Source organism: Homo sapiens, chromosome 22 (genome assembly GCF_000001405.40).
Source record: "Homo sapiens chromosome 22, GRCh38.p14 Primary Assembly".
NCBI lineage: Eukaryota > Metazoa > Chordata > Mammalia > Primates > Hominidae > Homo > Homo sapiens.
This window is the reverse complement of record NC_000022.11, coordinates 26,587,092-26,599,270: the sequence shown is the minus strand read 5'-3', so window position 1 is coordinate 26,599,270 and position 12,179 is coordinate 26,587,092. Positions and strand designations below refer to the sequence as shown.

Sequence of the window (12,179 nt, the reverse complement as noted above, 5' to 3'; positions counted from 1 at the left end):
CCTGTTATGTGAGTCTACCAAATGTGTAGGCAGAAATGAATAAGGCCAAGTTCCTGCCGTCAAGGAGTTTGCTCCACCTAGCAGGGGAAACCCAGATACACCTGTGAGATGCTGTCCAAGGATACTAGGTAAGAGATGGTCCAGCCAGGGCATTCGTGCAGCAGGTCAGAGGAGGCAGGTTGGTTTCTGGGTCCTGAATGGATGTGTTGGGGTGGAGGACAAGTACTTGGCCTTACTCATTATGAAGACTGCTCCAGGAGGTTGGTATGAGGAAATTGAGGTTCAGAGAGGGGAAGTGATTTTCCCAAGGTCACACAGTTAGCAAGTCAAGACTTGAATTCAGGCTGTCTGGCTCCAGAGCCTGTACTCTTCAAGACAAATCTATAAATTTTTTTCAAACTGTAGCCAGTTGAGCATCCCCCCTCAGGATTTTTTGCACTGTCTGCATGCCACCTGGTCTACTTTTGACATATTTTTATTTAAATAGACTTATTTTTTGTCCTTAAATGCACTGATTTGTAAATAAATCCTTATAATGCTCCAAGAAGTGGAAAATCAGCATCATATACATAGAAAGCAATCACACAGGCTGGGCGTGGTGGCTCACCCCTGTAATCCCAACACTTTGGGAGGCTGAGGTGGGTAGATCACTTGAAGTCAGGAGTTGGAGACCAGCCTGGCCAACATCGCGAAACCCCATCTCTACAAAAATTCCAAAAGTTAACCCAGCATGGTGGCGTGCGCCTGTAATCCCAGCTATTCGGGAGACTGAGGTGGCAGGATCACTTGAGGCTTTAGCCTGGGAATTTGAGGCTACAGTGAGTCGTGATCATGCCACTGGACTCCAGCCTGGGCAACAGAGTGAGATCCTGTCAAAGAAAGAAAGAGAGAGAGAGCGAGAAAGAGAAAGAGAGAAGGAAGGAAAGGAGAGAGAGAGAAAGGAAGGAAGGAAGCAGGCAGTCGTATAAATAAATCAAATACAATTTAAAGAAGGCCAAGTATCAAATTTCCAGCAGATACCACTGCCTGCAACCTGTTCACTCTTCGACAAAATGGGAGATTAGCCAGTGTTGAAAAGTGTGAAAGAGGACCGGGTGCGGTGGCTCACGCCTGTAATCCCAGCACTTCGGGAGGCCGAGGCAGGCAGATCACTTGAGGTCAGGAGTTCGAGACCAGCCTGGCCAACATGGTGAAACCCCGTCTCTACAAAAATATAAAAAATTAGCCGGCTGTGGTGGCGGGTGCCTGTAATCCCAGCTACTTGGGAGGCTGAGGCAGGAAAATCGCTTGAACCGGGAGGCAGAGGTTGCAGTGAGCCAAGATTGCGCCACTGTACTCCAGCCTGGGTGACAGAGTGAGACTCCACCTCAAAAAAAAAGAAGAAAAAAAACCAACAAAACAAAGAAAAGTGTGAAAGATGTTTGCACCAAACTGAGACTTTTTTCCTCCTTGATTTAATCAATAAAGGTTGAAAAGAGCATCGTTTTCTTGTATCTGATTCAGTGTTACTCAATCCTGGAGCTGGGGTACATCAGGAATCATCTCATTTGGAAATCTGTGCCAGACACTATTGTTTCCCATATCAACAGTTAATATTGATTGATGTTATTAATCATTAATCTATGCAGACAGCCTGGTGGAACGGGGTGTCGGGGTTGCTATGGATATCTTCCTGGAGGAGGGAATATCTGAAGGGGGCCTTGAAAGATGGAGCAGGAGCTTGCTTGATGGAGAATAGGGGAGATGATATTCCAGGCAGAGCAAACAGCAGTGTCCCCGCTACCCCATATGGCACCTTTGTGCAAATGATAAAAAGATGTCTCTTCCTCAAGACATTTTACTGCCATCTGTTAGAAATTATTGGTATAAATCTGGGACGTCTACCATGTAAATGTGATACCCTTGTGCTGTGCCCAACATGCTCAGCTGAACTTGGCAGCCCTGGAGCACCATGAACAAAGGCATAGAGGTTGAGAGAGTTGTGGTGGGCCCCGGTGAAGCTTATTGAGGTGGGAACATTAGCTTGGTGGTTGTGTGGGCAGAAGCACAGGGTGGGACGGATACACTTGTACGTCAGGAGATAAAGCTGGCAAGAAAGATAGGGCCTCATGACACCCCACCCTGTGGTTTTGCTGAGCTTCAAAGTTGAGACACCACCTCACATAATCTTGGACAGGTCTCACTCACCTTCCCTCATCTCACTTTCATTCTCCCCACCTCAACACTCTTGGCCAGCATCTTGGACTAGAAGACAGGGCTGTCTGCGGACCAGGATTCCTGGACAGAAATCGGGAATAAAAGGGTATTAACCCTGCTGTACTGTTAGAAGTTGGAAAGAACTAGGCAAATTGCATCCATTCCCTGGGACTTGTTTTTCTCTTCTATAAAACGACAGCTCAAATACCCATCCAGCCCCAAGATTCTGAGGTTCCAAAGTTCTATGACTCTCTAAGGTTCTGATATTTATCTCTAAGCTTCTGTGATTCTCTGATTCCAAAGCCAAGCCACATGGATCCCCATTCTAAGTTCTTAAGGTCTGTGAGTAAAGCTCTAAAATTCTACTGCAGTGGAGTCCATCTTCACAGTCATATGAGCCCCCTGAAATTGACTTCCATAGTTCTTTACCTTCAAGGTCTTATTGTTGGTAAGATGCACTATGATTTTATAATTCCAGGAGGAAAAAGAGAAATAATACCAATCAAAACATAACACAATTGTTTTCTGATCACTCAGAATTTTTATACTTATTGAAAGAATTATTTTCAACTTATTTAGATTTAACAGATTTTTTTTCAGTGTATCAATCTGATAAGTCCTATAAAAGGTAAACATACTAGAAATTCATCAGTTAAGTCAGTTCTAAAACCTCTTTGCGGCCAGGCACAGTGGTTCATGCCTGTAATCCCAGCACTTTGGGAGTCTGAGGCAGGTGGATCACTTAAGGTCAGGAGTTTGAGACCAGCCTGGTCAACATGGTGAAGCCCCATCTCTATTAAAAATATAAAAAATTAGCCGGACATGGTGGTGCACACCTGTAATCCCAGCTGCTCTGGAGGCTGAGGCAGCAGAATAGCTTGAACCCAGGAGGTGGAGGTTGCAGTGAGATCGTGCCACTGCATGTCAGCTTGGGCGACAGAACAAGCTTCCATCTCAAAAATAAAATAAAATAAAAACTCTTTGCATTGATGGTCCAGATTCTGGCCTGGCACAGTGGCTTATACCTATAATCCCAGTATTTTGGAAGGCTAAGGTGGGAGGATCACTTGAGCCCAGGAATTTGAGATCAGCCTGGGCAAGATGGTGAGACCTTACCTCTACAAAAAATAAAAAATAAGCTGGGTGCAGTGGTGCATGCCTGTAGTCCCAGCTACTGTGGAGGCTGAGGCAGGAGGATCCCTTGAGCCCAGGAGTTCCAGGCAGCAGTAAGCTATGAATGTGCCACTGCACTCCAGTCTGGGGAACAGAGCAAGACCCTGTCTCTAAAAACAAAAACAAGGCCATACATGGTGGCTCACGCCTGCAATCCCAGCACTTTGGGAGGCTGAGGTGGGAGGATCACTTGAGCCCAGGAGTTTGAGACCAGCCTGGGCAACACAGGGAGACCCCATCTCTACAAAAAATTAAAAACAAAACACAGAGTCCAGGTCTTCTGGATCACTTTCATCTCACAGGCATTTTTTTTTTTTTTTTTGAGACGGAGTTTTGCTCTTGTTGTCCAGGCTGGAGTGCAATGGCCCGATCTTGGCTCACTGCAACCTCCGCCTCCCAGGTTCAAGCGATTTTCCTGCCTCAGCCTCCCGAGTAGCTGGGATTATAGGCATGCGCCACCATGCCTGGCTAATTTTTTGTATTTTTAGTAGAGACGGGGGTTTTTCCATGTTGGTCAGGCTGGTCTCGAACTCCCAACCTTACTTGATCCTCCTGCCTCGGCCTCCCAAAGTGCTGGGATTACAGGCGTAAGCCACTGCGCCTGGCCTCACAGGCATTTTAAAATGTGCATATTAGCATCACTGAAACAAGATATGTACACTTGGCAGAATAAACACCAGAAGAAAATAACAATTAAAGTCATTTTATATTTAATGTATTGTTTGCTAATGAATTTATGAATAAACAAAATGCCTTGTAATAACAAAGGAGGACATATAAAATTATAAGCAAAAAATAAAGAATAGAGACTAAAAGAAGCAAGTTAAAGAAAATAACATGTAGTAAGGCTGAGAGTGAGTGTGACTTAGGAACCATAAACCTGGTGTTCCTTCCATGGGTCCTAGTTTCAACATATCTCTCAAAACATGAGCATCTCACCACCTGGAGCAGAATTTCAGAGCTTAAAGATAAGCCACACTTTTGCCTTCAAACTAAAACTAAGGTTTCATTTCATCAGGTGCTCAACCCCAGAAATCATGATGAGTCCAAGTTTAATATTGACGGAAACCAGTGAAGCTGGACTTCCAAGGGGCTATGTTGCCTTCAGCCTTTTCGGGGGCTTCTCCAAGGCAATTTTGACTGCATGGGTTTGGCTCTAAATGCTGGCTTTTTGTTTGTTTGTTTTGGTTTTTGTTTTTTGTTTTTTGTTTTAGCTAGAGTCTCACTCTATCGCCCAGGCTGGAGTGCAGTGGCGCAATCTCAGCCCACCACAACCTCCACCTCCCGGGTTCAAGCAGGAGTGTCCCTAAGCACTGGCTTTAAAATACAATGCCTGAGGAAACTGGGGACTTCATATTGTTTCAAAGCTAGATAGATCCCAGCTTGTGAATCTTTGAGTCTCAGGCCTTTGGAAAGGCAAAGCATCTTGATTATGAGAGAGCGGCTCTCATTCTCATCGACAAGAGGCAACCCGTAATCTTTTAGACATTGGAGCATAAGCCCAACGCCGGCAGTGTGTATATGTGGGGTGGAGGCAGGAGGATCACCCAGAGGCATTGAATGCTTTTGTGCCAGCATGAGATGCTGATAAATACACAGCAACTGGGCTCTGGGGAAAAGACATGGTTCCAGGGTGCCCTGCAGAGGTTCTAAAGAGATGAGCCTTCTTAGAGCCAAACTGCCACGACAGCCAATAGCCTGGGTCAGATACTTAGGATCAACGAATGCTTTGTGAAGCCTGGATCCCCAGCTAGGAACAATAATACTACACCCTTCCAGCAGGAGAAGAAAACCTGCCCACTTACTTTTACTTCCTGCCCACTGCCGAGCCACTGCCTTCTATCAGTGTACTAGAAAGGGTGAGAGAGACCTGAGTTTGCATTCCAGCTCTGACAATTACCAGCTATTATCCTTGGCCAAATCAAATTACCTGCTGGAGCCTCTGTTTCCACATCTGTAAAATGGGAGTAATGATAATAAAACACCAAAAGCTTGGAGAGGGTAAATGATCAGCTTGAATATAATAATTATAAGGTGTTTAGCACATAGCAAGCACCTGAATAAAGTGTTTTCTGTGGTTGGGCATGGTGGCTCACACTTGTAATCCCAGCACTTTGGGAGTCCAAGACAGGTGGATCACTTGAGGTCAGGAGTTGGAGACGAGCCTGGCCAACATGAAGAAATCCCATCTCTACTCCAAATACAAAAATTAGCCAGGCATATTGGCGCATGCTTGTAATCCCAGATACTCAATAGGCTGAAGCAGGAGGACTGCTTGGACCCAGGAGGCGGAGGTTGCAGTGAGCCGAGATCACACCACTGTACTCCAGCCTGGGCAACAGAGTGAGACTCTGTCTCAAAGAAATAAATAAATAAAATAAAAATAAATAAAATGGTTTTTAAAAAAATTTTAATTAAAAAAAAAAAGTAGAGACAAGGTCTCACCATGTTGCCCAGGCTGGTCTCAATCTCCTGGGTTCAAGCTATCCTCCCTCTTCAGCCTCCCACAGTGCTGGAATTACAGGAGTGAGCCATTGAGCCTGGCCTAAAGTGTAATTATTGACATAACATCAACCTCATCCTCTTGAATGTCAGAGCTGGAAAGAATTTTTGGATCAATGTGTATTATGCTACATCTATTCTTCCTGCTTTTGATAAATATTCTTCCTGCTTTTGATAAAACCTCTTAAGTACTGGGTTTTGCCTAGATGCTGGGAAGATAGGTTGGGGAGGAAGACAGAAGAGGTATCTGCTCTAGGTGTTCCCGGCTGAAGATGCAGACAGGAGGAATGAATTATTTTGTCTGCCTTCAAAGTCACATCAAATTCCTGGGCTGCACAGTCTGGTGTCTGGTCCACCACGATGTCCTGAGGGGCAATTAGCCTTCCTCAAGGAGGTGACAGACAGATTGAGACCTGGAAAGGTTCACTGAGCTAGGGGTACTGAGAGAAGTCCCAACCTAGACAACAAGACGATCATTCTGATCCTCCTCCTTAGCCTCTCAACTGAGATCTGCCAATTCTGTCTTCCAAACCTCTCCGGAACCAAAACACCCCCTCCATGCCCACATCCCCTCTCTGGGTTCCTGAATTATTTCAACACCCTCCAAACCAGTTTCTGCCTGTTTCTTCTTCACACAGCACCAGAGGGATCTTTGCAGAAAGTCAGGCTCCCCATGCCCTTCCCCTGTTGAACACCTTCCCTGTCTCTCCATCACTGCAAGAGAAAAGCCCCGACTCCTTCCCACAGCCCACAAAGCTCTGCAGCATCCAGCCCTGCAGACACCTCTGATCTCTTCTCTCACCTCCACCACATCCTGTCCACTCTGCACTTCATGCAAGGCCCCAGGCTCGCTTCCTTCCTGCTAGGCCTTTGCACCTGCTAGATTCTGTGACCAGTGCACTCTTCCAAGGATCCCCACCCATGCCTCTGGCATGTATACACACGCCTGGCCCTCCCTCCCTGGACCAGGTTAATCTCTGCTGCTCCTGCCTCATCAGTTACAGGTGCTCACTTTACTGTGAAGGCTTGTTGAAGGATCTAGCTTCCCCAACTTGGACCTTTGTCCCCCTGTTAGCTGCTGAATCTGTGCCTAGCATAGAGAGCTCAGGAAATGCCATTGCTAGAATGTTATTAAACAAATGCCCCCATTCACACCTCTTCCTCTGAACTCCATTTTTTTCATCCACAAAAGGACATTATAAAACACCCTGCTGGTGTTTAATCTATGTGTCTATCAAATCAGTCATATGAAGTCTCTAACATGCACGCAATAAACACTATGTAATGTTGTTGTATTGTTTCCAGACCAGTAATGGCTGGCTCCATGGAGGCAGCTTTATCAGTCCCAGCATTTTCCATAAGGCAAGCACTAACTATTTATTGGACACATGAATGAATTAATGAATGACCAATGAATGAACATGTGGCTGGCCATGGGCAAATTACTTAATATCTGTGTGCCCTAGTTTCTGTGTGTGTGTGTGTGTGTGTGTGTGTGTGTGTGTGTGTACTCACCCAGGATGGAGTGCAGTGGTGCGATCTACACTCACTGTAACCTCTGCCTCCTGGGTTCAAGCAATTCTCGTGCCTCAGCCTCCCAAGTAGGGGGAATTACAGGTGAGCAGCACCATGCCCTGCTCATTTTTTTTTTTTTTTTTTGAGACGGAGTCTCACTCTGTCGCCCAGGTGGGAGTGCAGTGGTGCGATCTTGGCTCACTGCAACCTCCACCTCCTGGGTTCAAGCGATTCTTCTGCCTCAGCCTCCTGAGTAGCTGGGACTACAGGCATGCACCACCATGCCCAGCTAATTTTTGTATTTTTAGTAGAAACAGGGTTTCACCATATTGGTCAGGCTGGTCTTGGATTCCTGACCTGGTGATCCACCCGCATCGGCCTCCCAAAGTGCTGGGATTGCATTTTTTTTTTTTTTTTTGAGACAGAGTCTCACTTGTTGCCCAGGCTGGAGTGCAGTGCAATCTCAGCTCACTGCAACCCTTGCCTCCCAGGTTCAAGCGATTCTCCTGTCTCAGCCTCCTGAGTAGCTGGGACTACAGGCATGTACCACCACACCCGGCTAATTTTTGTATTTTTAGTAGAGACAGGGTTTCGCCATGTTGGCCTGGCTGGTCTCGAACTCCTGACCTCATGTGATCCACCCACCTTGGCCTCCCAAAGTCATTTTCGTATTTTTATTAGAAACGAGGTTTCACCATTTTGGCCAGGCTGGTCTTGAACTCCTAGCCTCAAGTGATCCGCCCGCCTCGCCTCCCAAAGTGCTAGAATCACAGGTGTGAGCCATGCACCTGACCCAGAAATTTATTTTAAACAGATAATATATACATATGGCAAATAGAAAGTTAAAAGAGAACAAAGAACCAAAGTTCACAATGAAAAGTAAGCCTGCATGCCTACCCTACCTTTTCTTCAGGTATTCAATGCACAAGCATACGATGCATAGATAGCTCTATTATTTTTCCAATTTTACACATGAAGAAGCAGAAGCACTGAAAGGTTATAGAACTTAGACTGTGCTAAGATTTATCAGTCAGGAGTTTTGTTTCATTTGTGTATATCAGGGCTTCACAACCTTTACGCTATTCGGCATTTTTTGCAGGGTTTTTTTTGGGGGGGTAGTGGCAGGGCTGGGGGTGGAAAGGGTGTCCTATGCACCGCAGAATGTTTAGCAGCATTCCAGGCCTCTACTCACTAGATGCCAGTATCGCCTCTCCACTTCCCCAGTTATGACAACCAAAAATGTCTTCAGAGATTGCCAAATGTCGTGGTGGTGGAGGGATGTCAGGGCAAAATCCCTGATAAATGGAGAGAATGTGGTATATCCACAAAAACTCCCTCCAAAACCACTGGTGTGTATGACTATACATCAGACCACCCCTTTCTTTTTTCTGTGTTTTACACAAACAGTAGCACGAATACACCCCGCTGCGGGTCTACTTTTCTTTTCTTACACCACTTTTTGGTGATCATTCCACTTCATTGCTTACAGGCAGAAAGGAACTTCTCTTAAACAGAACTGACCGGGAGAAGTGGTGAGCTGCCCGTCCTAGGGGTAAGCCAGCGAGCAGACAGGGGCTTCCAGGGCGGCGGGGCGGGGTTCCCGGGGCGAGCCTCCGGGAAACTTCCCGACCAGCCTCTGCTCACCTCGCGGTCCCGAGGCGCAGTGGAGGGGATGGGGCGGGGCGGGGCGGGGCCGCGTATCGGGCCCGCCCCCGTACGTCACGTCGCCGCGGCCCCGCCCCCGCGCGGGCACCTCCCCCTTCCCCGGCTGGGGCGGCTGGAGAGCCGGGAGTCGCTGGGTGCGTGGGGCTGCCTCGCCGCGTCTCGCCACGGTAGGTGGCCCTGGGGCGGCAGGGGGTGGCCTCGGGTTGCAACCGGGGGCGCGGGCTGGGGGCCGTGCGGGTCGGCCTCGGGCGCCTGGCAGCCCTCCGTCCTGGCGGCTGCCTCCGGGCCCGGCGCGACTGCTCGGGCTCCGGGGCTGGGAGCTGGGATCTGGGAGGCAGGCAGGCGGCGCGGGCGCGCGGTTCTGGGATCCGCACCCGCTCGGCGTCCCGAGCGCTTTCCGCGGGGTGCGGCATCCACCGGGCCCCCGTTACCACGCTTCCCGCTTCGGACCCAGCGCCTGGGAGACGCTCAGCGTCTGTTGGCGGGGGGACTGGGGGGGAGGGCGGCGCGTCCCCGCCTCCGGAGTCCCCAACCTCGCCCAGGCGCGCGGGGACCCCCAGGCGGGCGCCAGGGCGCGTGGAAGTTAACTTGCAGCAGCCGTGGAGTTGCGAGGAGCGTCAGAAGTGGAGGCGTTGGGGGCGGAAATCGTCGGCTGGGGAGGTGGGCGCTGGGAGCACTGGGTTGGGGAGCCCTAGTGAACTTGGAGGTCACTGGTGAGGAGTGGAGAGGAATTTGACCCGAGGATCCCACCCCAACCCCCAACCTCCCTCCGTAAACTCCGCTTCTCGGTGTGAGCTGGATGGGAGGTGCCCGGAAAGCCGGGACTGGGACTGGTAGCAGGGGACTGGGAGCATGGGCTCAGAGGCTGAGCACGCCTGACCTGGCAGAGTCGTTGTTAGATGGGACAGAGGTCGAGGTCTGGCATTCCCACTCAAAGGCCCGTTCCCTAGGGAAGGAACCATCCACCTCAGCAGAGTCATTAGAAAGAACCGTGCCTAACCTCTTGCCCCCTTCCCCTTTTACAGATGGGGAGACTGAGGCTTGGAGAGGTCACCTGCCCGTGACCCTAGGATTCACAGCTAGGATGTGGCAGAGCTGAAACTCACTCACAGGCCTCCTGACTTAATGTCCTTGGGGATGTTGAGGAGGCGGGCTGTTGAACTCCTACTTATCCTACAGAAGCCCCCTCAAGCAGCACCTCCTCCGGGAAGCCTTCCCTGGCATTCTCCTGGTATTGTTGGGTGCTTCCTGTTTTGAACCCCACAGAGTTAGCCAGCCCTTTTTCTCACTTCCCAACAGACATTCCCTTGCATGTCTGTCTGCCAGACTGGGCTGTGGGTGGACACCTCTCCCTAGCCTCCATGTGATAACCCTTTCATCTCAGCAGGGTGGTCTGCTGGCGAGGGTAGGCTTCTGGATTTGAACAGATCTGTGACACACCGGATTTAGTAGTGATGTGGCCCGGGCGACGCATTTTCCTTCCGATCTAGTCTCAGTTTCCATAACTGTAAAGCTGGGTTTATTTCATTGTCCTAAAGGAACTGTTGGGTCATTTCTGAATCCCCCCACCCCACTGAACCCCAATTGTACTGTTGTTTACTTAATATACATCTTTGTATCACCTGATTTTTAAAAATCTCATGCAAACTTTTTTTATAACAGCTTTGTTGAGATACAGTTCACATGCCGTACAATTCACCCTTTTAAAGTATATGTTTCCGTAATTTTTAGGATGTTCAGAGTTGCATAGTCATCACCACTGTCTAATTTTAGAACATTTTTATCATGCCCAAAAGAAAGGCTGTTTCATGGTCACTCCCCAATCCTTTCTTCCCCTATCCCTTGGCAACCACTTACTGACTCTCAAATTCTCTATGAATTTGCCTGTGCTGGACATTTCATATAAATGCAGTCATATACTATGTGGCCTTTGGTATCTGATGCTTTTCACTTCAGAGAATGTTTCTAAGGTTCAGCCCCTTGCAGCCTGTATCAGTACTTCATTCCTTTTTTTTTTTTTAAGTACTTCGTTCCTTTTTATGGCTGCATAATATTCTATTATGTGGATATACCACATTCTATCCATTTGTCAGCTGATGGATGTTTGGGTTGTTTCTAACTTTTGACTATTATGAATAATACTGCTATGAACATTCATGTACAGGTCTTTGGACATACATTTTCAGTTCTCTCAGGTATATTTCTAGGAGTGGAATGATTGGGTCGTAAGGTAACTTTAGGTTTCACCTTTAAATATTTTTTTAATTTATTTTATTATTTATTTATTTTGTAGAGATAGGGGTCCCACTATGTTGCCCAGGCTGGTCTTGAACTCCTGGTCTCAAGCGATCCTCCTACCTCAGGCTCCCAAAGTGCTGGGATTATAGGTGTGAGCCACTGCACCCAGGTTTAACCTGTTGAGGACCTGCCAGACTATTTTTCCAGAACAGCTGTACCATTTTATATTCCTACCACCAGTGTATGAGGGTTCCAATAATCTTAAATACATTTAGTGTTCTCTGAAGCAGTCATAACCCTTGAAATCACTGGCTTTGATGTGTTAGTTGTAAACTATTTTCAGGCCGGGCACGGAGGCTCACACCTGTAATCCCAGCACTTTGGGAGCTAAGGTGGGCAGGTCACCTGAGGTCAGGAGTTCGAGACCAGCCTATCCAATATGGTGAAACCCCGTCTCTACTAAAAATACAAAAATTAGCCAGGTGTGGTGGTGCGTGCCTGTAACCCCAGCTACTTGGGAGGCTGAGGCAGGGGAATCGCTTGAACCCAGGAGGCAGAGGTTGCAGTAAGCCAAGATCAATCACACCACTGCACTCCGGTCTAAGTGACAGAGCAAGACTCTGTGAAAATACCGAAGCAAGGAGAGGCAGTGTAGGACCCAGTGGCTTACAGAGCCCACCCCAGGAGCTGGCACACAGTATTAGGAGGGGGTGAAAGGAAGGTGGAAGCTGCTCGGATCTTCCCATCCCGGGCCAGCCTGGAGCCCCCTTGCCAGCTGAGGCTTTGTGGAGGCCAGGGAGACCCTCCATGGCTCTCCTAGACCATAACTGAAGGGGAAGACTTGTCCCTTGACCCCAAAATTAAGTCTGGTCCTGCCCACACCCTATCTG

At 48.3% G+C, this 12,179-nt stretch overlaps 2 protein-coding genes across 5 annotated transcripts in view, besides 6 other annotated features; one reads left to right on the top strand and one right to left on the bottom strand.

The window, feature by feature from the left end:
• The window catches only part of CRYBA4 (crystallin beta A4), a 40,450-nt gene extending 31,399 nt beyond the window's left edge, over window positions 1–9,051 (bottom strand). The window contains exons 1-2 of the mRNA XM_006724140.4: window positions 8,908–9,051; window positions 2,188–2,277 (exon numbers count right to left, since the gene is read on the bottom strand). The gene's annotated coding sequence lies outside the window, so the exon portion shown is untranslated. The remainder of the gene's footprint in view (window positions 1–2,187; window positions 2,278–8,907) is intronic.
• Window positions 6,339–6,488: an enhancer, noted in NCBI's record as "active region_18795". NCBI's record gives its function as "activates an Ori minimal core promoter by ATAC-STARR-seq in GM12878 lymphoblastoid cells {active_cell/tissue: GM12878}" and the evidence as "EXISTENCE:reporter gene assay evidence [ECO:0000049][PMID:35858748]".
• Window positions 8,785–8,924: an enhancer, noted in NCBI's record as "active region_18794". NCBI's record gives its function as "activates an Ori minimal core promoter by ATAC-STARR-seq in GM12878 lymphoblastoid cells {active_cell/tissue: GM12878}" and the evidence as "EXISTENCE:reporter gene assay evidence [ECO:0000049][PMID:35858748]".
• Window positions 9,035–9,404: a silencer, noted in NCBI's record as "silent region_13573". NCBI's record gives its function as "represses an Ori minimal core promoter by ATAC-STARR-seq in GM12878 lymphoblastoid cells {active_cell/tissue: GM12878}" and the evidence as "EXISTENCE:reporter gene assay evidence [ECO:0000049][PMID:35858748]".
• Window positions 9,139–12,179, top strand: part of TPST2 (tyrosylprotein sulfotransferase 2) — a 68,137-nt gene continuing 65,096 nt past the window's right edge. For all 4 annotated transcript variants that reach the window (XR_007067981.1, NM_001362922.2, NM_003595.5 and 1 more), the window contains exon 1: window positions 9,139–9,218. The gene's annotated coding sequence lies outside the window, so the exon portion shown is untranslated. The remainder of the gene's footprint in view (window positions 9,219–12,179) is intronic.
• Window positions 9,415–9,594: a silencer, noted in NCBI's record as "silent region_13572". NCBI's record gives its function as "represses an Ori minimal core promoter by ATAC-STARR-seq in GM12878 lymphoblastoid cells {active_cell/tissue: GM12878}" and the evidence as "EXISTENCE:reporter gene assay evidence [ECO:0000049][PMID:35858748]".
• Window positions 9,415–9,941: a biological region, named in NCBI's record as "H3K27ac hESC enhancer GRCh37_chr22:26985294-26985794".
• Window positions 9,441–9,941: an enhancer, noted in NCBI's record as "H3K27ac hESC enhancer chr22:26985294-26985794 (GRCh37/hg19 assembly coordinates)". NCBI's record gives its function as "activates a minimal SCP1, AML or CMV promoter by ChIP-STARR-seq in naive H9 embryonic stem cells {active_cell/tissue: H9 hESC(naive)}" and the evidence as "EXISTENCE:reporter gene assay evidence [ECO:0000049][PMID:30033119]".